At 60.9% G+C, this 23,548-nt stretch overlaps 1 protein-coding gene and 2 long non-coding RNA genes across 9 annotated transcripts, besides 4 other annotated features; 1 reads left to right on the plus strand and 2 right to left on the minus strand.

Annotated features, from left to right (window-relative positions):
- Positions 256 to 665: a silencer, noted in NCBI's record as "silent region_6195". NCBI's record gives its function as "represses an Ori minimal core promoter by ATAC-STARR-seq in GM12878 lymphoblastoid cells {active_cell/tissue: GM12878}" and the evidence as "EXISTENCE:reporter gene assay evidence [ECO:0000049][PMID:35858748]".
- On the plus strand, positions 449 to 23,545 carry ADSS1 (adenylosuccinate synthase 1). Of its 7 annotated transcripts, none has more exons than XM_006720026.4 (14): positions 449 to 682; positions 11,240 to 11,342; positions 14,596 to 14,658; positions 15,548 to 15,598; positions 15,875 to 15,894; positions 15,987 to 16,036; positions 16,821 to 16,928; positions 17,059 to 17,140; positions 17,337 to 17,463; positions 18,068 to 18,222; positions 19,287 to 19,411; positions 21,032 to 21,129; positions 22,456 to 22,605; positions 23,171 to 23,545. In XM_006720026.4, the coding sequence occupies exons 1-14, from the start codon at positions 491 to 493 to the stop codon at positions 23,221 to 23,223; spliced, it is 1,377 nt and encodes a 458-aa protein (XP_006720089.1). In that variant the 5' UTR covers positions 449 to 490; the 3' UTR covers positions 23,224 to 23,545. The 7 variants fall into 7 exon arrangements, with proteins under 7 accessions (XP_006720089.1, NP_689541.1, XP_011534714.1 ...); XM_011536412.3 differs by lacking the exon at positions 449 to 682 and adding an exon at positions 6,064 to 6,433; NM_152328.5 differs by lacking the exon at positions 15,875 to 15,894 and having other exon boundaries at positions 15,970 to 16,036; positions 23,171 to 23,530.
- Positions 1,496 to 2,196: an enhancer, noted in NCBI's record as "H3K27ac-H3K4me1 hESC enhancer chr14:105191613-105192313 (GRCh37/hg19 assembly coordinates)". NCBI's record gives its function as "activates a minimal SCP1, AML or CMV promoter by ChIP-STARR-seq in naive H9 embryonic stem cells {active_cell/tissue: H9 hESC(naive)}" and the evidence as "EXISTENCE:reporter gene assay evidence [ECO:0000049][PMID:30033119]".
- Positions 10,788 to 13,734, minus strand: LOC124903396 (uncharacterized). The gene is made up of 3 exons (XR_007064365.1): positions 13,498 to 13,734; positions 12,745 to 12,835; positions 10,788 to 11,361 (listed from the first exon to the last, which is right to left on the minus strand). It is a non-coding gene; the product is annotated as an uncharacterized LOC124903396 (long non-coding RNA).
- LOC107984670 (uncharacterized) lies at positions 17,364 to 17,889 on the minus strand. The gene is made up of 2 exons (XR_007064366.1): positions 17,799 to 17,889; positions 17,364 to 17,627 (listed from the first exon to the last, which is right to left on the minus strand). It is a non-coding gene; the product is annotated as an uncharacterized LOC107984670 (long non-coding RNA).
- Positions 19,418 to 20,223: an enhancer, noted in NCBI's record as "H3K4me1 hESC enhancer chr14:105209535-105210340 (GRCh37/hg19 assembly coordinates)". NCBI's record gives its function as "activates a minimal SCP1, AML or CMV promoter by ChIP-STARR-seq in primed H9 embryonic stem cells {active_cell/tissue: H9 hESC(primed)}" and the evidence as "EXISTENCE:reporter gene assay evidence [ECO:0000049][PMID:30033119]".
- Positions 22,584 to 23,083: an enhancer, noted in NCBI's record as "H3K4me1 hESC enhancer chr14:105212701-105213200 (GRCh37/hg19 assembly coordinates)". NCBI's record gives its function as "activates a minimal SCP1, AML or CMV promoter by ChIP-STARR-seq in naive H9 embryonic stem cells {active_cell/tissue: H9 hESC(naive)}" and the evidence as "EXISTENCE:reporter gene assay evidence [ECO:0000049][PMID:30033119]".

Genomic DNA, 23,548 nt, shown 5'->3' on the forward strand with positions numbered 1-23,548 from the left:
CGCTCCTCGAGAGTGCGGACCCTCTAGGTGGGGTGCAGGACGCAGCTCCCCTTTTGCAAACCGCACTCCTTCCCTGGAGGGAACGACCACCCCTGCAGTTGCTGGAACCCCGAAGTCCTGGGCCCGGCAAGGGCTTGGTGGGGGGTGAGGTCGCGGTGCACAAGCCCTGGTCCCCGACGGGCTAGCGAGAAACTGCCTCCGTTGGCAAATTCGTGGGGGCGGCTCCCCAGGCCATCTGCCTGCCTGGCCGTTGGTCCGTGCGGCCCCTCACCCCTAAAGTGCTCGAGACTCAACTGGGCTTCCCGGGCAGCGGCGAGGGGGCGGGGATGTGGCGGCCGGAGGTCACCGGGGCGTCACTGCGCCCGCCCTGGCCCTCCCCCGGCCCGCCCCCTGCCCCGCCCCCTGCCCCGGCCCGGCTCCATTTAATGGCGCGGACGCCGGCGGCGGCGGGCTCCTGGCCGGGCCAGCGCAGCGGAAGAGCCAAGCCAGCATGTCGGGGACCCGAGCCTCCAACGACCGGCCCCCCGGCGCAGGCGGCGTCAAGCGGGGGCGGCTGCAGCAGGAGGCGGCGGCGACCGGCTCCCGCGTGACGGTGGTGCTGGGCGCGCAGTGGGGGGACGAGGGCAAAGGCAAGGTGGTGGACCTGCTGGCCACGGACGCCGACATCATCAGCCGCTGCCAGGTGCGGGCTGGGGCGCCGGGTCCCTCCCCCACCGCCCAGCGAGCCCCCCTCCCCCGACCCAGACGGCCCCTGTCCTCCCATGCCCTGGCCGGTCACTCACCCGCTTGGATGCCTTCCTTCCGGGAGCACCTTTCCCAGGGCCACCCCACCCACGCACGCACACGCACCACTCACACAACCCCCGACCCACACACACCGCCCTCCTTCCACCCACCCCTACTCCACCACCCCGGCAGCGGGCCAGGGCACAGCTATAAATACAAGTCGCTGAGTTGGGGACACCCGATCCTTAGGGGGTGGCGCATGCCATGGGTGTGACGCTGGACCCTCCATGGGGGAACCAGAGGACCCAGCCCCAGGATGGTTTGAGGACCCCCAAGACACCCCCCTTCCTCATTTACAGTGATCACCTGGGGCCTGTCTGGGTCTGGGATAGGGCTTACCTGGCTCCCCGCAAGGTCTGCAGGTGGTGGAGGGGGTAAAAGCTGCCTGCTGGGTGGGGGTGACCCCGGTGAGTCAGCCAAGGAGAGGCAGAGGTGGAAGGGGGCCAGGCCGTCCTGGGGGGCAATTGGGGCCGCGCCTGAGGGAGGGTGCTTGGGACGATCCTAGCCAGACATGGGAGAGGGAGGGCCACAGACTTCTGGCCAGGGTGACCCCGTGGCTGGCAGTGCCACCGAGGAGGCCAGACCTGCTTTGTCCCCCAGGGCCCAGGGCTGGGCCTCTGCCAGCCGGCAGCTGCTCTCAGCGCCCCCATCTGTTCTGACTGAGCTGCACACTGGGCACTCTCTCGGGCCGCCACCCTGGGGCTACATGCCCCATGCCAGGGCAGCCAAGTCTGCTGCCCATGGGCTGACTTACAGCTCCAGGCACAAAGGGGTCAACTTTGGGATGCACGCGTCTGGGGTTTGGAGCCTGCCTGGGGCTGCTGCCAATAATGGAACAAGGGCCCCCGCACCGTCCCTTCTCCGGGTTCTGTGGCCTCCTTCCTGAGCTCCAGAGAGGAGGGCTGGGGCCCAAGACGAAGGGAGTCAGCCCAGCACCCTGTGTGGCTCAGGGCTGTCCGAGCCCCTCCTGCCGGAAGGGACTGTGGCTTCCTAGAAAGTTCTTCCTGGAACAGTGGGGGACCTCCCCCCTTGCTCTCCGTCCTAAGCAGCAGGCAAGCACATCCCTCGCTCCAGAGATCCCCCAGGTCCTAGAGGTGGTCCTCAGCCCATGCTCCCTCCACACTGCCTCTGCCCCGCCACCTTGTCCTGGGCCGCCAGGGGGCATGTCCAGCGCTCTACTGCTCTTCACCCTCCAGGGCGCCCTCAGCGTGGGGCAGCCCCGGCCCCTGACCCTCCTTAGACCTCTCTGCTCCCGTGAGGCCCAGGCCCCTCCCTATGAGCTGCCAGCTCTGGTGGGCGCCATGCACTTCTGCAGGGCGGGCTGGGGCCCCCACAGGTGCTGTACACAGCATTCACCTGGCTCCGCGCTCCCAGCTGTGGAGATGGTTCTGGATCTGGGCACTCCCTGCTGTGCCCCCCACCCAGTCCCCCCACAGCCCCGCTCACTCGCAGCTGCACACGGGAGCACGGAGGATGCAGCAGGCTGGAGCCCATCCCGCACTCCGGCCACCAGGCTGCCCCCGCCAGGCCACCCCCACCAGGCCACCCTATAGCCTGAGGGAGCCCCTGGCTCTCCAAGTGAGTGGGAATAAAAGAGGTTTGTCCCTGGAGCCCACACCTGTCCCCCTGCAGCCTCCTCACGAGCCAGTGAGGCAGGATCATCCTGAAGAGCTCCTTCACAGGGGAACAGAGGCTCAGGCGTGGAGGAATGAGTCACTGCCACATTTGGAGCCCTCACTGGTGCCACGTGCCCACCATGATAGCCCAGGGCCTGGCCCTTTGTCCCCACCTGCGAGTGCGGGGACCGAGCTGGATCTCAGCGGGGCGCCGCTCTGCAAGGGAAGGTCAGGGACTGGTCTTCTTTGGGGCCCCAGCCCCAGGCTCTCTGCAAGTGCTCAGTGACCCCTACCTCACAGTGCCCATCTCTCCTCCTAGCGGTGGGGGTTCTCCCCTACCACCGGGCTCCCAGCACCTCCCCTGTTCTTGTGCACACCATGTCTGACCACCCCATGTCGTCAGAGGCTGGCAGAGGGTCTGGCTGGATCTCCCCAGGGAAGACTGCGTCTTTCTTACTTGGAGTGTGGATGCCTGAAGCCAGATGAAGGTACCCGACATGGGGGTCTCCAGGCGCACAGAGGCCAAACCTCACCCTCTCACTCAAGGGGCTGAGCAGAGGACAGAGCGAGGGCCGAGTGGTCCAGGTGGTCAAAGTGCACGCCGTGGGCAGAGCGGGCTGGGCCGCATCTGGGAGGCAGGCTGGCTGCCAGGAGGGCTGAAGCTGCCAGCCCTGGCAACAAGCCTGTTCTGCTCCCCAGTCCCCAAAGGGTCACCTGGGCCTGGGGCCACCCTGGGTTTTGGCTATGCTCCTTCCCTGGCTGCCCAAGCCTCTGGACACCCAGGCTCTGGCTCTGCCTGCTGCTGACGCCTGCACCAGCAGAGCCATCACTTCGAGCCCAGCTCTCAAGCCCCCTGGTGGCCCCTGGCACTTGGCAAGAGTTGCTGCTTTGCTCACCCTGGACATGGACTTTCCACTCTGCCCAGAGGTGATCTGGGGCTGCCCAAAGCCCCGCACGGCTCGCCTCATTCTTTTCCCATCCCGGTGGTTTGGGGCCTGTGGTCAGAGTGCATCTGGGGGCCCCTGAGAGTGTCGTCACCTCCCACAGCCTCCCGCCTTGGGTCCACCTTTAGGACCTGTTTCCTGGGCGGCCTCCCTTCTCCAGGCTGAGCCTACATTTTGCATCCCCCACCTTCTGACCACACCCCCACCTCACACCTCGGCTGTCTTTCCTCCATTCCAGGGCGGCTCTGGGTCTGTTCGGCTGCACTATGCCCCCTGGCCCCACTATGCCATCTTCCTCCTTGCCTGCTCCCCTGGCTGCTTCCAAGCCTCTCTCCCCTCCAGGCTGAGTCTCCTCTGAGCCAGGTCTGCCCTCCCTGCTCTGCGGCCACATCACATCGTCTGCCTGTCTGTGCTGGGGTCCTGTGTTCCCTCTCTTCTCTCTGGGCACGGACACCCCATCCTACTTCCGAGGGGGTCCCCAGGTACCTCCGCCTGTGCTTCCTCCCTTGCGTCCATGGCGTTTCCTTCCCCTGCGTGCTGTCCAGCTCCTACCCCTCAAATGGGCAGCTGAAGGCAGGTGCACCTGGGTCTCCCCTGCCCCCTGTTCCCAGGCTGGCAGTGCCCGGCCTTCACCCCCTAGTTCCTCCTTCCATCTCCAAGATACTTCCTCTGGATAACTGGGCTCCCTGCCGAGGACCACAGGGCTCCAGCGCGCCCTGGTCAGGGTTTAGAATCCCCGTCCTTCTGCTGCAGTGCTGACCTCAGGGCACTGGGCTGTTTATGTCTGGCCATGCCCAGTACACGGGCTGAAGGGGCCTGCCCTGGGTCTCCATAGCGCACTCCCAGCCTCCCGTGCCCTCCAGGTCTAGCTAGAGCCAGTGTCCAGCCAGCAGACGGGTGGAAAGCTATGGCCATGTATGCAGGGGTGTGAGATCACAGGGTGTTTCTCTGTGGTGTGGCAGCGCCAGGTGGGAGCTGGCATCCTGTGCATTGAGGGCCCCTGTGCTGTGGCTGTTGGGGCTCTGGGCACCCTTTCCAAGGGGCCATCAGGTAACGCTTTGCCTTAGGCTCCAGGGTGCACCAGAGACCTTCTGGGAGTCAGAGGGGCAGCTGCCTTGGCCAGGGAATGCCTGGGGTTGCTTCCAGAAAGAGGTCTTCCCCCTACCCCACCTCTGCACTGTTGATGGTGCTGGTTACTGGGCCGTGGCTCCAGGACAGAGGGTCCCTGCAGTTACACACAGCCCTGCCTCATTGCAGGAACACCAGTCCCGGGCAGCTGAGACCTGCACACCTGTAGCAGTGACCTCGGTTCTGTCCCAGACCTCACCCCACTACCAAAAGGGGCAGAGAACAATTCCTTTGGGTTGAAGGAATGAATGAATGGTGGGAGCCTGCAAGCAGAGCCCAGAAGGGAGTGAAGCAGTGTAAGTGGGTGAACCCACTGCACCACACTGGTAGTCACAGGTGTGTGCACACTGGGCGCCAGGGCCCCTTGCTCTGTGCCGGGCACAGTCGTCGTACAAACTGCCATTGAGTGCCAGTGCCAAGAGGTTGGGCCCAGGAGCCTCACGGCCTCTGAAAAGCACCGCCGGCCTCCCCCTGCGCTTGCCACTCTGCTGCCTTCACTGCCTGGCGTGAGCTCGCTGACAGCCAGGCCCTGGGCCAGGGCTGGGGATGGACACAGAGGCAGGAGAGCTGGTCGCTCCCATTCCAGGGGGAGAGGTGCAAACAGCCACTCCACTGTCCCCTCCTCCCCAAGCCTGCATGAGAGCTGAACCAGGAGGTGGTATAGCATGGGCCTGGCACAGCTAGGGCCGAGGGGGAAGCGGGCAGAGTGCAGTGGCGTTGAGGCACGGCGCCGTCAGACATGCAGTCCGCTAACGCTGTGGGGAGGAGAAGGCTCTGGAGCATGGGAGGTAGCGAGCCTCGTCCAGGTGTTGCTGCAGGTAGGGCTGACGATGGGGGCTGCATTGCAGGGGAGAAAGGGGCCTCCTTGGGAACCCTGGGCCAAGCAGACGCTGTGGCCAGAGGAGTCATCCATGGCAGTAAAGGGCCTATGGACTGCAGGGCAGAGAAGGGCAGTGGCAAGTGGGCCGGGAGTGGAGGGGGCCCTGGCAGGTCAAAGGAGGTCAATGGACAGCCCCCAAGCCAGGCAGATGGCAGGTGGCATCCCAAGGATTTAGGGACGGGGTGGACAGGAGCAGGACGATGGCTGCAGGGCAAGGCTGGGACCCGCACGGGTGACAAGCTCAGTGCAGGGGCAGGGCATGCGCCATCTGGGCAGTGTGGAGGTGAGGAGCAAGGACAAAGCCTGTGTGTGGAGACGCCTTGCACGTGTCAGCAGCATGGCGTCGGCGTGGGAGGGAGGAGGTAGCGTCGGCGTGGGGGAGGAGCGTGGCGTCGGCGTCGTGGGGAGGAGCGTGGCGTCGGCGTGGTGGGGAGGAGCGTGGCGTCGGCGTGGTGGGGAGGAGCGTGGCGTCGGCGTCGTGGGGAGGAGCGTGGCGTCGGCGTCGTGGGGAGGAGCGTGGCGTCGGCGTCGTGGGGAGGAGCGTGGCGTCGGCGTCGTGGGGAGGAGCGTGGCGTCGGCGTCGGGAGGAGCGTGGCGTCGGCGTCGTGGGGAGGAGCGTGGCGTCGGCGTCGTGGGGAGGAGCGTGGCGTCGGCGTCGTGGGGAGGAGCGTGGCGTCGGCGTCGTGGGGAGGAGCGTGGCGTCGGCGTCGTGGGGAGGAGCGTGGCGTCGGCGTCGTGGGGAGGAGCGTGGCGTCGGCATGGTGGGGAGGAGCTGTGGGGTGGCAACCCAGAGGCAAGGAGGTGGGCAGAGGCCCACGAACCTGGCCCTGACCCTCAGCTCGTCCCCAGCTCACAGCACAGCCCTCCCCTGGCTGCCTCCAAGGAGTCTCCAGTTACTGAGTGGCCACTCCGTGCCAGCTCAGCCCACCCCTCACCTTCCCAGTGCCTGTGGAGGCCCAACTAGGGTGACGCTGGGAGAGGAGAGGGCTTGGAGGAGCCACGGGTCAAATGCAGGAGGCCACACCTGCCTGCCCAGGAGGACTGCAGGAGCCGGATCCTTAACACCTGGAGGGGAGCGGGTGGGTGCGGTGGCGTACATCTGTAACTCCAGCACTTTGGGAGGCCGAGGCGAGCGGATCACTTAGGGTCAGGAGTTCAAGACCAGCCTGGCCAAGTGAAACCCGGTTTCTACTAAAAATACAAAAATTATCTGGGCATGCTGGTGGGCGCCTGTAGTCCCAGCTACTGGGGAGGGTGAGGTGGTAGAATAGCTTGAACTCAGGAGGCAGAGGTTGCAGTGAGCCAGGATCACACCATTGCACTCCAACCTGGGCGACAGAGTGAGACCCTGTCTCAAAAAAAAATTCCATTGTTTAAAGCTGTCCAGGCTGTGTATTTTGTTTTGGCAGCCCTGGAGACTATAGATAGATAGATGATATGGAGAGAGGTGTAGAGAGATATTTACTTATAAATATATGTACATATATAAAATGCCTGGAGGGACCAGCAATGGTGGGAGGACTGGGGAGTGGCCCCGAGAGGTGCTGCGGGTGTGAGGGTGCGCACAGCCTCCTGGAGGGGAGGGGCCTGAGTGGGGCAGTGGAGATAGGGCTGGCCACAGGGCCGTGCCTTCCCTGGCCCCCAGAGGGGTGAGTTGGGTGGACCCGCAGGGACAAAGCAGGGGTCAGAGCTGTGTTTGGTTCCTGAGTGGGCCTTGTCCAGGATGGAGAGAGCCTCTTTTCCTAAACTCCCTGCCACCAGGGAGGCAGCTGGCACGGATGTCCCCTAGGGACTGTGAGTGACAAGCCAGACTAGGCAGAGAGTGGGGGGGGGGGGGGGGCTCAGTGTCCGTGGGGGCTCAGAGCTGTGTCCTGACCCAAGCCTGCACCACAGAGGGGAAGACCCCAAGAGAAACCTGGAGGCAGGTAGAGAGCGCCAGGGGGCCACCAGGCTCCCTTGGTGCCCCTAACTCTGGGCCCCCAGCCTGGTCTGAGCCTTTGGGTACAGGTCACTCAAGGCAGGTGTTCTGCACCATCCATCTTCATATCGTCTCTCTCACTCGCACCCTTGCATCACTGTGCTTCTGAGAGTTGGGCGCTTACCTTAATCTACTGTCCCTGACCTGGCAAACAGTGGAAAGGTGGCATGATGTGGCCCTGCAGCTGCTACACCTCTAGGCGCCATCATTCATGCCATGGCTCTGTGACAGCACCCCCTAGAGTTGTGCAGTGTGCAACATGGGTGACTGTCCATGGCAGCTCACAGCATGTGGCTCAGCCCATTGGCCATGCAGGGGGCTCCTTTCCTAGGAGCAGCAGGGCTGGGCTTCCTCTCCACCTGTAGGGGCAGCAGTGGGCATCTTAGGTAAATGCAGGACTCTGCAGCCCCTAGAGGACCCTGAGTGGTGGCTGAAGGATGGATGTGCCCATGGCCTTCCCAGAGCTCAGGTGCCTCAGCTCTGCTTTCAGAGGAGCAGGGCAGCCGAGGGGTGCCTGGCAGAGAGGCCTGCCGGCTGGACGTGGGGACCCTGGAGCTTGGCCTGAGGGGCTGTGGTGGGAGCCGTGCCTGAGCAGGGCTGTCCCGTGGCACACACTCGCCCTGGCTCTTCTGCCCATCACTTATCCCCATGAGGCAGGAAAGACAGAGTGAGTGCGGCTGCCCTGGGGGCTCGGCACTGGGGGGATGGTGACAGGACTCGGGGCTCAGGGCCGGGCTGCCTGGAACAAGCAGACCCTGAGGGGCCCCCTGCAGCAGGATCCATGGACCCATCTACTGGGCCAGCAGGGGCCAGGAAAGGAGAAGAGGGAGACCGGTGGGGCTGGAGGCACCAGTGCGTCTGTGCAAGAGGAGGAAGCCCTGTGAGAGGGCAGCAGCCTCCGGACTGCCCTGCACACCGTGCTGAGAGGCCTGGCGTCCACCTGCAGCCCAAGGCAGCTCCAAAAGAAGGTCCTGGTGCTTCTCCAGGAGGCGAGGCTGGCCCTGATGTTTGGTCCCTCCTCATCGGCCAGCCTCATGGTCAGCCTTGGCTGGTGGCTCCCATGGCAAGGCAGACCCTGGCCTGGACCTGAAGGCTCTGCCTTTGTGCAGAGCCCCAGCCTGACGGTACCAGTTTTCCTTTGTTCCCCTTTGTCCAGCCCTCCTTGGATGCCTTTGCTGTGGGAATCCCAGGCTGAAGCTGGAGGAAAGGCAGGAGGACTTCTTGTCCCCAGCCTCTCACCACGTGCCTGTGCAGCCTGACGTCCTGAGACCTCAACTGGTGATGGGGAGGACAGACTGGTGTCTCTCTGGGGCCATCGTCCTGGGCTCCCCAGAACTGGGAGCCCCTGCGGATCAGCAGGCCCCAGGCTCAGCGTCCTGAGCTGGCTCCTGCTCCCAGGGGTGGCCTGGCACTGGCCCTGCGGTCATTGGACACCCACTGGCCTACGACAAGCCGCGCCTGTTCCTAGGAGCCTGTGTTTGCCCCCAACAGAGCCAGGGTGTGCCTAGCAGGGCGTTCCTGGGCCTGTTGACGTGGGCACTGGGCACTCTGCCATGGTAGGCAGCACTTGGCCTGACTGCCAGGTCATCCCTCGACGCCTGCCCCCCCGCCCAGGCGGGGCTGTGTACAAGGGATAGGCTTCCCTTCTCTCAGTTTCCCTACCTGTCCTCAGAGACCTCACCCCTGACTGCCCCCAAAAGGCAGCAGATGCAGTCGTGGGCATGAAGGTACTCCATGACCCCAGCGGAGAGGAATTACCACATATGTGCCGAGGCAAGGACAGAGTAAGAGTGGGGGTCTCCAGGAGGGTGCTGTGACCCCCAAACCCAGAATCTGTTCGAGTCACGCCAGGGCCTGCCCCGTCCCGATGGACTGAACCTGTGCGCCCAGGGCTGACTCAGCGTCTGCTGAGCAGCACAGGCTGAGAGCCCTGCCCATCCGCCCAGGCTGCAGAAGTACCCTGACCCTCCACCCCCACCCTGCCTTGGCGCCTGGCAGCATTAGCTCCCACAAGGCCTCCAGGTGCCCTCAGACCACCCTCCCTCCTGCCACCAGGCTTCCTGCATCTCTCCACCTCCCAGGATCCCCACCCAGTTCACCCAGCACCGCCCCGCCCAGAGCCACTGTCCTGAACTGGTTTCCTATAAGGACTGGGCCCAGCCAGGCAGGGCCAGGCAGAAGTCAGGGCGTGGAGGTGGGGACTCCTGCCCTGCGAAGGGGCTTCAGGGCTCTGAGTGCTGCCTAATCTGCCAGTGTGTGAAGTTACGTCCCAGGAGGGTGAGCCCCCTGCCTGGCATCTCTGGATCTGCCCCCCCTCTGTCCCCAGGGTTGCCCTGCCACGAGGCGCCGGGGCTGTTTCCGTGTAACTCTTGTCCAGATGCATCGTGAGGAGCTAGTGCAGAGGGAGGGGGCCGCCATCACGGAGGGTCCTGCTTGGGCAGGCGGGGAAAGGCTATGTGAGACACCCCACTGCCAGGCTTGTGAGGGTGGGAGGGGAGCTGAGACCCCTCTGCCGGGCAGAGAGCAGTGGGGTGTGGCTGGGAGAATCCCCCATGCGTAGACAAGTTGAGGGCTTTTCTGCCGGGAGGTGAGGCAGGAAGGTGGGGCTGGATCTGGGCTCTGGGGTCCTGGGGACAGAGTGGGCCCCAAAAGGGAAGTAGTGAAGGAGAGACCAGACCAGTCTGTGGGGCAGGGTATCCGTGTGTGGCCCCCCGCAACCCCACCGGGACCCTGCTTACCCTCCAGGTGGAGCTCAAGGAGAGAGGGCAACAGGAAGGGTCCCCCATGCCATCCAGTGGCTGGCCAGAAGTGGGGCTGGAGACCTGGCCTTCTCTCCTGGGGCAGAGACCTTCTGGGGCTCCCTCCAGGCTCTGTCACACTGGGCCTACAGGGGTCTCTTATGGTGGCATAAAGACCAAAAGGTGCTGTAGGGATATCCCTTGCCGTTGGTGGGGGCCTGGCTTCAGGGGCAATGAGCCATCATGGGCCATCAGAGATGCTGCCTCTTCCTCAGCTGTGAAGCGGGGCCTCCTGCCTGCACGTAGGGGAGCCCTATCAGCCGTGCCTTGGGACTGGAGTGTCCCTGTATCCATCATGCCACCAGCCCACCTGCCCTGCAGGAGCAGAGGGTGGGGGCAGCAGGGGACACCCACTGGACCTGTGCCCTGCTGAGCAGAGCCAAGCAAAAGGCAGGAGGGCTTTGGTTCTTGCCCCACCTGGAGAGGGTCCCTAGCTTATCCTCTAGCTTCCACTGGCACAAGAGGCCCTTGGGGAAGCGAAGGCAGTGGCATCCAGGGCGTGGCACAGTTTGCTTGTATCATGTGGCTGTCTCATGGCAGGAGGGGGATTGGAGCCTGCACATGCTAGTCCCAGGCCCTCTCCCCACCATCAGCAGGAATCCCCCCAGAGAGGGGAGCCTGTGGCTGGGTGTTTCCCAGAACAGGGCTGGCTCAGAATGGCTTTTTCTTTTTCATTCTTAGACGGGAGGTGCCTGCCCAAAGGGAAGGGTTTCTGCTAAAGTGGGTGAGGGCAGGTTTGGCCGTGGGGGTGCTGAATTCATGTTCTGTGGGAGGGTTAGGCCTCCTCATTCCTGCATGAGAGGAGCGAGCTCCAGAGCGGGGCCCGCAGCTGCAGAGACCTGCACCAAGCCACCTGGAGGTGTTGGCACCAGCCTGGGCCAGACCCTCCCCGACCCAGGCCCCTGACCAAACTGCTGCCCTCCTTCCAAGGTGCAGGATGCCCACATCCCAGTCCCGCACAGACGCATCAGAGCTGGCCACCAAACCAGACACCCCAAAATCCAACAGCAGTGCCCTGCAGGGACAGACGAAGCCCCATGTGGGTCAGTCCATGTCCGGGGGGTCCTCAGTACCCAAGTGCCTTCAGCTCAGCCGGGTTTCTGTTCCAGGGGGGCAACAACGCCGGCCACACGGTGGTGGTGGATGGGAAAGAGTACGACTTCCACCTGCTGCCCAGCGGCATCATCAACACCAAGGCCGTGTCCTTCATTGGTGAGTGCCCTGCCCCGACCTGTGTGTGAGCAGGAAAGGGGGTGTCAGCCAGCCCAGGAGCCCCACGCATGGGGGCACGGGGCACCAGAGCCTGGTGATGACTGCTCTAGCAGTAGGCTGGACCCCAGCCTCCACCTGCCCCACCAGGCACTGGTGCACAGAAACCTGCATAGCCCGGGCCTGGGCTGGGAACGCAGCTGAGAGGACACAGGGCTGATGGGAGGAGGGGCAGAGTCACATCCACCGCGCAGGAGCGGGAGTGCCTGATCCCTGATCCCTGATCCCTGATCCCTCACATGCACATACTTCCTGTGTGGGCATGGAGACCACACGCCCATGTGCCCGTGACTCCATGTGCATACCTGTGAGTGAGTATGTGCTTGCGACAGGCCTGGCTTCTCGCTGCGTGGCGACCAGGCTGTGTGGACAAGGCCGTGCCCTCCCCGGCCCTGCCGAGCCATGTGGCCGTCCTCTTGCCTGGGCTGCTGTGGCCACGTGGCAGGCCTGGTTCCAGCCCCTTCCCAGTCCGTGCTGCAGAGGGACCTCCTTCCACATCGCCTGCCCCCTCCTGGGTCCGGACACAGCTCCTCCCCTGCAGCCACCTGTGACCACTCAGTGCTCCAAGAGGCGAGCCACCTCTGTCCCCAGGGTTCCGTGGCTCTTTCCCTCCTTCTCTCGGTCAGAAGCCTGCTCTGTGCACCCTGGCCTCAGCTCTTAGCCCAAAACCCCCTTGCTCAGAGAAGCTTTTCCTGATCCCAGTGGCCAAGCCAGCCAGGCCCCTTCTTGTACTTTCCCTTCCAGCTGTTTCCAGACTTCAGCAAGGCCATCCTTGTGATGTATCTGACCCCTTCCCAGCCCGTCAGGAAGTGGGGGTCAGGCGCCTCAGGTGTGTGCCCAGCAGATGCATGGGCCTGGACCCATTCAATGTGAGCAGAGGGAGGAAGATAGCGCGGAGGTGGCTGCCGCAGGGGCCATGTGTGGTCAGGGGCTGAGCTGGAGTGACTCACCCAAGACCATCCCCTGGGGTGCAGACCCAGTCCCTGGCCCTCCCAGCAGTGGGGCCAGGACAGTGTGGGGGCGGTCCCTAGTTCACAGCAGGGAGGCCCTAAGCAGTGAGGTGGCCTGCCCGCCATGTCGCAGGAGCCCCTAGCCCTGGCAGACTGGGCAGTAGCGCTGGCTGGCCGCTCCGGGTTGTGCTGCAGGAAGCCCTTCTCCAGCCGCCAGCCTCGTCCTGCCCAGCCCTGGGCCCCACATGGCAGGAAACAAGGCCAAAGAGGCACCGCTTAGCAAGCGGCAGGACGTGCCAGGGCTCACACAGACACCCTGAGCTTGCAACACTCCGGGCCTCTGCCGCGTGTTTATTTCAGGATGCCGTGGCATTTGGGTGACCTTTTGTGCTCACCATGGCTTGCGTCGTCTCCGGGTCACTCTCGTCTGGACTGAAGTCCCGTCTCCCTCAGCTGAGCCTGTGCCATGGCCAGCCTCAGCGGGAACTGGCAAAGGGAAAGGGGTTCCTTGGGGAGGCAGCAGGGGTTTCTGAAGGCTTCATCTTCAAGCAAGGGGTTTAGAGCTCAGGAGTGTATTTGTGTTTTTTTGTTTTTTGTTTATTTTGAGACAGGGTCTGGCTGTGTCACTCAGGCTGGAATGCAATGGCACAGTCCTGGCTCACTGCAGCCTCAACCTACTGGGCCCAGGGGATCCCCCTGCCTCTGTCTCCCAAGTAGCCAGGACTACAGGCTTATGCCACCGCACCTAGCTGATATATATATATATATATATATATATATATATGCATTTTTTTTTTTTTAGAAATGGAGTCTTGCTGTGTTACCCAGGCTGGCCTCCAACTCCTGGCCTCAGGCAATCCTCCTGCCTCAGCATCACAAAATGTTGGGATTATAGGCATGAGCCACCATGCCCCACCAGAGCGGTGCATTTGTGACAATCGATGAACCTACACTGACAGGTCATGATCACCCAGAGTACATAGTCACCTCTGGGTTCACACTTGGTGCTGTACATTCTACCAGTCTGGACAAACGTATGCTGTGTATCTGCCACTATAGTATCGTACAGAATTTTTTACTGTCCTAAAACCCCCGAGCTCCACCCATTTCATTCATCTCTCCCCCCTCAACCCTCGGCAGCCACTCACCTTATGCTGTCTCCTCAGTTTTGCCTTTTCCAGAATCTCAGAGTTGGAATTGTACAGTATGTCGCCTTTTCGGATTGGCTTCTTTCACTCAGTAACATGCATTTAACTTTCCTCTATGTCTTTTCATGGCTTGAAAGCTCATTTCTTTTCAGTGTTGAATAATACTCCACTGTCTGGATGGACCACAGTTGATTTCTCCTTTTGTTTACTGATGGGCCTCTTGACTGCTGCCGAGTTTCGGCGATTATGAATAGAGCTGCACATCTACGCGCAGGTTTCTGCAGGGACATCAATTTCCAGCTCCTTAAATACCGAGGAATGTGTTTTGCATCCATCACCACCATCCACCTCCAGAACTTTCTTATCTTCACACACTGAAATGCTGAAATATCAAATAACTCCCCAGTCTCCCTCTCCCAGCCCCTGGCGCCTCCCATTCTACTTTCTATCTCTATGAATTTCACTTTTCCAGGGACTTCATATAAGCGGAATCATCCTGTTTGTGTCCGTTTGTAACTGCCTTATTTCACTCAGCATAATGTCTTCGAGGCCTGTGTCAGAATTTCCTTCCTTTTTTAAGGCTGAATACTCTTCCATCGTATGGGTAGACCGTGTTCTGCTTACCCATTCATCTGTCAATGGACAGCTCTTGGCTACTCTGAATAATGCTGCTATGAACATAGGTGTGCCCATTTCATGCTGGGTTGTTTTTTGTTGTTGTTTGTTTGCTTGTTTGTTTTTTGAGACGGAGTCTCGCTCTGTCACCCAGAGTGCAGTGGCAGGATCTCAGCTCACTGCAACCTCCGCCTCCCAGGTTCAAGCGATTCTCCTGCCTCAGCCTCCCGAGTAGCTGAGATTACAGGCATGCGCCACCATGCCAAGATAATTTTTTGTATTTTTACTAGAGATGGGGTTTCACCATGTGGGCCAGGCTGGTTTCGAACTCCTGACCTCAAGTGATCCTCCTGCCTCAGCCTCCCAAAGTGCTAGGATTACAGGCATGAGCCACCGCACCCACCCATTTCATGCTGTTCTTAATGTATGTTTTCCAGTGTCTGGGACACAACTCTGTCTCTCATGCCTCTGTCTCTCATGCAGGCAACGGGGTGGTCATCCACTTGCCAGGCTTGTTTGAGGAAGCAGAGAAGAATGAAAAGAAAGGTAGGTCCAAGCTCCTGCAGACTTGCCCTGTCCCAGACGCGGTGCCCTGAGCGGTTGTTGGCTGGAGCCTTCCTGAGGGTTTCTCCCACGGAGGGGACTGGCAGGGGTGGGTTCCCAACATAGCTGGCCCAGCTCATCACCCGCCGGCTCTACCCGCGCAGAAAGCGAGTGAGCTGGGCAACCCAGAGGCCTCAGATGCTGGTGGCCTCAGCATCACGGGGCCAGGTAGCACCTGGGAAGTCCAGGAAGGAGCCAGGGACCTGGACCAGACACCCAGTGGGAAGTGGGGACTGCTGGCCTAACTATGCCTGCAGGGAAGGATGTGGCTCCTGGGGGCTCTGCGGAGCATCTGGCCAGGCACGCAGAGGCCAGACCCACCAGCTGGGGGTGTGGGCAAGTCAGACCTAGTGTGGGCAGGGACGGACGGCAGCCTGAGTGGGTCTGGGAGGACGCTGAGCTGCAGCCTCAGGCTCAAGGGCGGGACGGGTGTGAAAAGAGCAAGAATGTGATTCTGGGGACATGGGCACCAGGGGGTACCCAGACTGAGGCCCTGAGGGGGCAGGTCACCTTCAGAGTGGCAGCAGCTAGGGAGGAAAGCCGGGCACTCACACCAGCTCTGGCTTCCCAGCCTGGAGTGGGCGAAGCCTGCAGGCACGAGAGTGGGCATCCTGGCGGCGGGGTGGAGTGAGGGTCCGGGAGTCTCAGCTGGGGAGGAGACAACGAGGGGCGGGTCTGCCGCTTGCTGCGCAACAGAGGTGGCCCTGTCAGCCTCCTCCCTGCATGCCTTACCTGGATGGGAGCCGGGCGAGCTAGCCCAGCTCTGGCCCCTCACGTGTGAGCTGCAGCGCACCTGTGAACACTGACCCACCTGTGTGCCGTGTCCCCGCAGGCCTGAAGGACTGGGAGAAGAGGCTCATCATCTCTGACAGAGCCCACCTTGGTACGTTTCCCACTGGAGTACAGGGAACAGCCCCTCCTGCCCCCACCATTGCCAGCCGGCCCTGCTCCTACATGGCCACCGAGATCAGGGAAGTCCCCAAGGCCTTCTTGCTCCACATGGCTCCATTAGCTTGTACATTACCCTTTTCAAAGAGCTTCAAGTTGGGAGCTGGGTCAGGGGTCACTAGCCCATTTGCAGGTGGGGAGACTGAGCCCCAGACACTCATGGTCACACCCCAGTTTGTCCTCTTTGAAATCTCAACCACCCCCTTCCCAGGAGACTCAGGCCAGCAGGAGGTGAGGTCCATGTATACACATCTGTCCTCTGCTTCTCTCCTGTCTCCTGCTGCCCTCACCTGGCCCGCCCGACAGTGTTTGATTTTCACCAGGCTGTCGACGGACTTCAGGAAGTGCAGCGCCAGGCACAAGAGGGGAAGAAGTAAGTCTGCCGGGACACTCTCACCCTCGGGGAGTCTTCTGGGCCCGTAAGCCGGTAGACTGTGGGGCGTGTCTGGTCCTGGGCACAACGAGGAGGGTACCTCAACCCACTCAAAGCCCCTGGAGAATGGCACCGTCAAAATTCCACAGCGCATCACCCAACCCCCGGACGAGCCAGCCCGTCTCTCTCTGGGGTTGCACACTGTCCTTGCCGGCTGCCACTGCCACGCGGCTCCCCCCAGGAGTGCATAAGCCCTACCGTCACCTGTCACACCCACCACCTTTCCTGACTCCACACGGCCCCAGGGAAGACACGAGGAACACTAAAGCAGTTTAGTAGAACCTCAGATGTGCCAAGGACACAGGAGTGAAGCAGATGAGTGTCCTGCCTCAGAGAGGTGATGGTCACACACTTACCCACTCACACTCTCACACAGGCACACACTCATGCTCTTACATACACACCACACGCCCACGCATGCTCGCACAGTTATGCACATGTGCACACGCCACACAAGCCCACACACCCACGCAAATGCACAAAAGTACACACAGCCACACATGCACACACTCCACATGCACACATCCACCCACAGGCACACACCATACCAGTACATCCATGCTAGTGCGTACACCCACACACGCACACACTCACAGCTCAGCCAGACACAGGCAGCAATGGTGGGCACTGGAGTCATGAGCCGGCGGGGGTCATGGCCTCAGTGGGATGCCTGAGCTCCTCAGGGCTCCTGGGTTCTCATGGGTACCCACTCCCCATCTTTCAGTATAGGCACCACCAAGAAGGGAATCGGACCAACCTACTCTTCCAAAGCTGCCCGGACAGGCCTCCGCATCTGCGACCTCCTGTCAGATTTTGATGAGTTTTCCTCCAGGTACCTGAGCCGTCTGCAGTCCCCGGGGAGGATGGGGAGAAGTTGCCGGAAGGGACTGTGGCTAGTGGGGAGGGCCCTGAGGACCAGCATGGACCATGACAGGGGGTGATGATGACTGTCCCTTGTGCAGATTCAAGAACCTGGCCCACCAGCACCAGTCGATGTTCCCCACCCTGGAAATAGACATTGAAGGCCAACTCAAAAGGCTCAAGGTGAAGTCGGGGCCGCAGTGTGGGGGCTGCGGAAGTGCTCCTCCAGGGAGGCTGGATGTCCTACCTGGTGCTCGTTGAACACCCTTGGGGCACACCTGATACTAGGCATTGTTATGGGCTGGCCAACCTTCTTGGGACGCAGGCCTCCCCTGCCCCAGGCCACAGGCTCACTCTGCTGCTTGGCCCTTCCTTGCAGGGCTTTGCTGAGCGGATCAGACCCATGGTCCGAGATGGTGTTTACTTTATGTATGAGGCACTCCACGGCCCCCCCAAGAAGATCCTGGTGGAGGGTGCCAACGCCGCCCTCCTCGACATTGACTTCGGTATGTCCGGGAGGGTGTGCGTGCCAACGACCTTTCGTGCCTGCCAGGGAAGACCCAGCTGCGGAGAGCCGTGGGAACCGATGGGGGAGGGAGGGGCAGACCCGCTTTCCAAGGCCACAGTGCCATCCATGCCCGCGGAAATGATCCTCGTGTCCTTAGTGTTCCTATTGTCAGCAAGGGAGGGGAGAGGAGAAAGGGCTGGGCTAGAGATGAAAGAACAGGGTGACAAGGTCAGGGGTGGGGCCAGGGAGCCTGGCAAGGTGGGTCAGAGCCAGCCCTTCCGATGGTCTGTACAGCCATATCCCGTCCTCACCCCCACGGGCGCACCAGCTTACCCTCACCCCCGAGGCGGCCTGGTCACCTCAGGCCATGCTGTGGGCAACTTTCTCCCTCCTCTCACCCCAGACTCTTTTGTGAGCCACATGGCCCAGCACACAGCACCCATTCGGCCACTCCACCAGGACAGGCCAGGCTGGCGACCCCACGGAGGGGGCCCCCCACGGTTTGAACTGCCCACTGCCCTTTACTGAGAAGGCCTCTTGGGCCGGGTGGAATAATCTACAGGGGGTGACAGGTAGCCCCCTAAACCTGCTCTGTCTTGCAGGGACCTACCCCTTTGTGACTTCATCCAACTGCACCGTGGGCGGTGTGTGCACGGGCCTGGGCATCCCCCCGCAGAACATAGGTGACGTGTATGGCGTGGTGAAAGCCTATACCACACGTGTGGGCATCGGGGCCTTCCCCACCGAGCAGATCAACGTGAGTCCCCAGCCCCTCGGGACCCCGTGGGAGGACAGGGAGGCCAGGCAGGGGTGCCGGGGGTGGGGTGAGCAGTGCCAGGGTGGAGGCTCTGCGGACCTTGCCAGTGCCATCTCCCCATCTCCCACCAGGGCGCTTCCTGCCGTGCAGGCCAGGGGAGAGCTTAGTAAGAGGCGCTGGGGTGGGCCTGTTCCCACGGCCACAGCACGTGAGCTCACACGGGGTGCGCACATGCCCACACGTACACGTGACCTCGTTCCCCTCGGAGTGTGTGAGGCCCACAGGCAAGTGCGGACGCCTTGCAGTTCCTCAGGACACCCTCATTCGGGGTAGCTGGTGGACTCACCTTGGCTCAGAGAGGACACTAAGCATCTTCCCTCAGCCTTGTCCCCAGGTTGGGGGGTCCTCTGTCACAACCAAGCTAGAATTGGGGCTGAAAGCCAACCCCCACAACCCTGCCCAGCTCTCCAGCCCCAGGAAGGTTTCTGGAAGCTGCTGTGGCCCCAGAATCCTCAGGAGACCCCAGCCTTCCTCTTTCACCCTCAACCTGTGACCCTTGGTAGGGCAAGGACATGGCCCTTGTGCCTGAGCAGGAGGAAGGGCAGGTGCTGGGAAAGCCAACACGGGGAGGGGCGGACGCCATCCAGAGAGGCTTGAGAGGGTGCAGGGATACATATCGGGAGATACACACACCCCTGACCCCCAAAGCCAAGCTGCAGGGCCAGGCCCGCCTCCCCCAGCTGCCCATGGCAGGAGGGGAAGACAGCAAGGCTGCCCGTGCCTTCCCCAGCTCACAAAGCCTAGTGGTCTGGTGTGTTCAGGAAGAGCGCTCGCCGGCTCGGGTGGCATTGTGGGCCAGGCCTTGCCCATTGTGAGCCTCAGCTGCTGGACAGGCTTACCAGGGGTGTGGGGATGTCCGGGAGCTGGATGTAAGGACTGTCGGTGGAGGCGGGGCACCCTCAGGGATTCTGAGAGCTGTGTGCAGGGAGGAGGGGGAGCAGCAGGGCCAGGCTGCACAAGGCTCCCACGACAGCTCACATGACGTCCTCCCTGTTCTCATGTAGGAGATTGGAGGCCTGCTGCAGACCCGCGGCCACGAGTGGGGAGTGACCACAGGCAGGAAGAGGCGCTGCGGCTGGCTCGACCTGATGATTCTAAGATATGCTCACATGGTCAACGGATTCACTGCGTAAGCAACCCATGCTGCCATCCCCACTGGGACCGTCCCTGACTCCCGACACCTGCAGAGGCAAGCAGCACTTGACGCAGGGGCTGAGGGCCACCAAGTCTCCTTGGACAAGGTTTCCACTGATCTCGACCCTTCCACAAAGCACGGCCCAGAGGTTAGCGGTATGGAGGCCTGTGCAGGGTGTGTTGGAGCCAGCCGTAGGAGCACAAACTCCCACCCCAGGGCTGATGCCGTGAAGGATGAGGGCATCCCGGCACTTGTGAGAGGTTAAAATGCTTCATGTGGAGAGCGGAAGTACCCAGGACGAAAGGATGCACTGTCATCCTGCTAGAAGGACGGCAGCATGGGTGCCGGCCTGTTGAGGCATCCGCTCTGCAGGCCCCTCTGCTTTCCACAGACTGACCCAGGCTGCCCAGCTGTTCGGGCTGTCTCCCAGGGATCTGAAAGAGGCTTTGTGTGAGGGGTGGGCTCACAGCTTCCTTTCCAGCTCAGTCAGACAGGCCAAGGCTGTGAGTCGCACATCTTTCACCAGGGTTGAGAGCATCAGCCAAAATTCCTGGAGAATTAACCAGACCCCTGCTAGGTGGGTATAGAGCTAATCCGGCAACGGGAAGCAGAGGAACCGAGTAGCTGAGGGTGTGGCGTCTGGGATCCGTGACCCTCACTTTCCTTGTGCGCGATGCAGGGTTCACGGCGCAGCCTCATCACGTGCTAGGGCCAGCATGGAGGACAGGCAGGGTCAGCAGTGCTCAGCAGACCCATCCATAGCCTGCTGCATCTGGCGCCCCTTCAGGCTTTGCCCACGGAGGGAGGAAAAACAGAGCCCATGGCACAGGGCCTGGTGCCGAAGATGGACCAGGAAGGGAGGCTGCCATCATTGGCATCAGTGGGTGGGTGGGCAGGGACCAGGAAGGTGACTAGGACAAGGGTGCCATGCTCACGGGCTGGACACAGGGCAGTGCTGGGCCCTAAACACGGCTGTGCTGTGGGGAAAGTGCACGTGTGGGGACGGGAGGGGAGAAGTGGAGCCTGGGGGAGCAGGGGTCCCGGGGGGCACTCGAGGTACAGGGGACTTGGAAAGGCAGAGATGAGGTGCAGGGCGTGAGCAGAAGCCCCCACCCTCTGGCATGTTTGTCAATGGCGCTTTTTTGGGATCACTTAATCTCTCTTTTCCACTCAGTGTAAATCAGCAGTCCCTAACTTTTTTGGCACCAGGGACCAGTTTGGCGGGAGATGATTTTCCCACAGACAGGGCAGGTGGCAGGGGTGTGGCGGCGGATGGTTTCGGGATGAAACTGTCCCACCTCTGATCTTCAGGCATTCGATTCTCACAAGGAGCATGTGGCCTAGATCCCTCGCATGCACAGTTCACAATAGGGTTCAGGCTCCTGTGAGAATTGAATGACAGGAGGTGGAGCTCAGGCCGTAATGCTAGCTTGCCCGCCACTCATCTGCTCTGCAGCCCAATTCCAAACAGGCCACCAACCAGTACTGGTCCACAGCCCAGGGACTGGGGACCCCTGCTGTAAGTAACAGAAGCGAGAGGTCAAAAGCAAGCGGAAGAAACCCCAGCACTGCTGACCACTTCTTGGGTTTGCCCGGCCCCTTGGCTTTCCACAGGCTGGCCCTGACGAAGCTGGACATCCTGGACGTACTGGGTGAGGTTAAAGTCGGTGTCTCATACAAGCTGAACGGGAAAAGGATTCCCTATTTCCCAGGTATGTGAAGTGGGGCAACCGTTCTGCCTGTTGGGCCGTTTCATGGTATTGGAATAGATAGGACCTGTGACTTCTCAGAGAGGGGTGAGTTCCCACGTTCACAGGACACAGGGCAAGCAGCTTGTCTCCAGTGACCAGCCTCCATCATGGCTTTTGCCTCTCACGGGTTTCTCCCCACAGCGTTCCCCAGGAGGCCTGGCTGGGCAGGGGTGGCTGTAGGCCCCTTCCAGTGTTTTGGGAATGGCTCAGGGGGACAGACTACTCGCCTGGGACCCTGGGGGACCTTCAGCTGCCTTGAGGAAAAGGCCCACCTGCAGGGAGCCACGGGAGGCACACAGGAGTTAGTGGATGCGGTCGGCTCTGGAAGATGTAAAGCTCTATGCGGACGTACAGGATGACTATTTCATCTGAGAAAATACGCTTTGTGGCGAGATTTTTAAGACCTAACCGGGATCCCTGCTCCATGCACCCCTTCTTCTGGAAAGCATGAAGGAGGTGCCATTTTCCTGGGTTTCACAGGTTTCAGTTTCGTGTGCGTCTGGATGTGCCCCCTCGACCTCGGTCCAGGGTCATGTTCTGACCCTGTTCCCCACAATGGCTTCCTCCTCAGCAGCCCTGGGCGAGCTGCTCCTGGCTGGTCTCCACTCAGCAGATCTTTGTAGGCCACACAGGGCCACTTGGCTACAGGAGCCATGTGTGTCCTTGCAGGCGGTGTCCCTGACCCTCCTGACCCTTGACCTTTGAGAGGCTGCACTTGTGAGGACTGCAAGCTCTCCTCATGGTGGTCCAGGGTCCCAGGGGGACACGCAAACACTGCCTGGCTCCAAGGCTCAAACACACTTGCAGCGAGAACCCGTATTCCAGCATCTTCCATCTGTAAGGGTGGTTGTCTTCTACCAGGAGCCACAGAGTCCTGCACAGGGCCGGGATCCCTGCCCTCTGGGAGTTGATGCTCTTGGGGTGGGAGGACACAGATGCTTCAGGATCCCTTAGTGCTTCAGGATTCTAGAGTCTCAGAATTTCCAAGCCAAGGCTTGGAGTGCCTCAGCTGATGTCACAGTGGAGGTTCTAGCAGAGTGGGTAGCACATATGTGTCATGTCCCTCTGGTCTGGAAGGCGTGTAGTGTCTGAGCCCCACTGCTGTCCCCTGCTTACCACCCAACACTGAGAAAATCAAACTGGGCCACGTGCCCACTTGCTGCCTTCCTTGCAGCTGAGTCCCTAGGCAAGGAGGCCCTGGATGGGGGTGGCCGTGTCACCAAATATCCGCTTCCCTGGTGATAGGAGGTCTGTGGGCCCCACTCATCTCCTGTGTGCTTCCCCCAGCTAACCAGGAGATGCTTCAGAAGGTCGAAGTTGAGTATGAAACGCTGCCTGGGTGGAAAGCAGACACCACAGGCGCCAGGAGGTGGGAGGACCTGCCCCCACAGGCCCAGAACTACATCCGCTTTGTGGAGAATCACGTGGGAGTCGCAGGTGGGTGCCCTGCATCCCCAGCCACCCTCCCTGCACCCTGGATGCCCCAAGGGGCCCACATCCCAGCGCAGGGCTTGGTGAGCAATAAGAAAACCAAGTGTGGTCACCAAGCGAATATATTGCATGGCAGGAGGGGAGGACGACTCGGAGCTGGGGCAGTGTGGCTCCGGGCTAGGGTGTGGGTGTGACCTTGCCGGGAGCCCCTGCCTCTCCGCATCCAGAACAACAGATGGGACACATCCCAGCCATATGAGTGTGTCATGTTTACCCTCATAACCCAGAGGTGTTTGCACCTACAGAGAAAGGGTCTGCAGGGAGAGTCACTAAGTAACTAACGTTGCCATTTCCAAGGAAGAAGGGAGGAGACTCCTGTTTTCCGCTGCGGGAGGATCAGTCCCCCAACATGCACTACCTTCATAACTTAAAAATTAGAACTGCCTCCATTTGGAGAGAAAATAGCCCCTTTTACCATTTGAACTACACAGAAAGATACGACACTAAAGACAACTTTTTCTGAACTTTCTGCCTCCAGTGTGTATCATAACAGTCTTTTCTGCTCTCTCAGTCAAATGGGTTGGTGTTGGCAAGTCAAGAGAGTCGATGATCCAGCTGTTTTAGTCACAGACTGAGCTGATCCCAACAGGCCCTGGCAGCGTCTGGACTTGTGTAAACAGCAGCAGTCACGTTCCTCGGCCGCCACAACCAACACCAAAGCAGGAAAACCATTTTCTGTACTTTTATATTTCTGTTCAACCTGTTGGTTTCTACAATGATTTTAAACATTGGAAAGCCAGCCTTGTGTATATTTTTAAAAATTATATTCAAAATGAGCCAAAGTGCTCAGAGACCTTCTATGACACATTAGTGTCACATGGTTGCGTGTCCAGCCGAAGCAGTGTAATAAACATCTCCAATGGCCACTGAATGGGAGCAGTTGTTACAT

The sequence above is a fragment of the Homo sapiens genome, chromosome 14 (assembly GCF_000001405.40).
Source record: "Homo sapiens chromosome 14, GRCh38.p14 Primary Assembly".
NCBI lineage: Eukaryota > Metazoa > Chordata > Mammalia > Primates > Hominidae > Homo > Homo sapiens.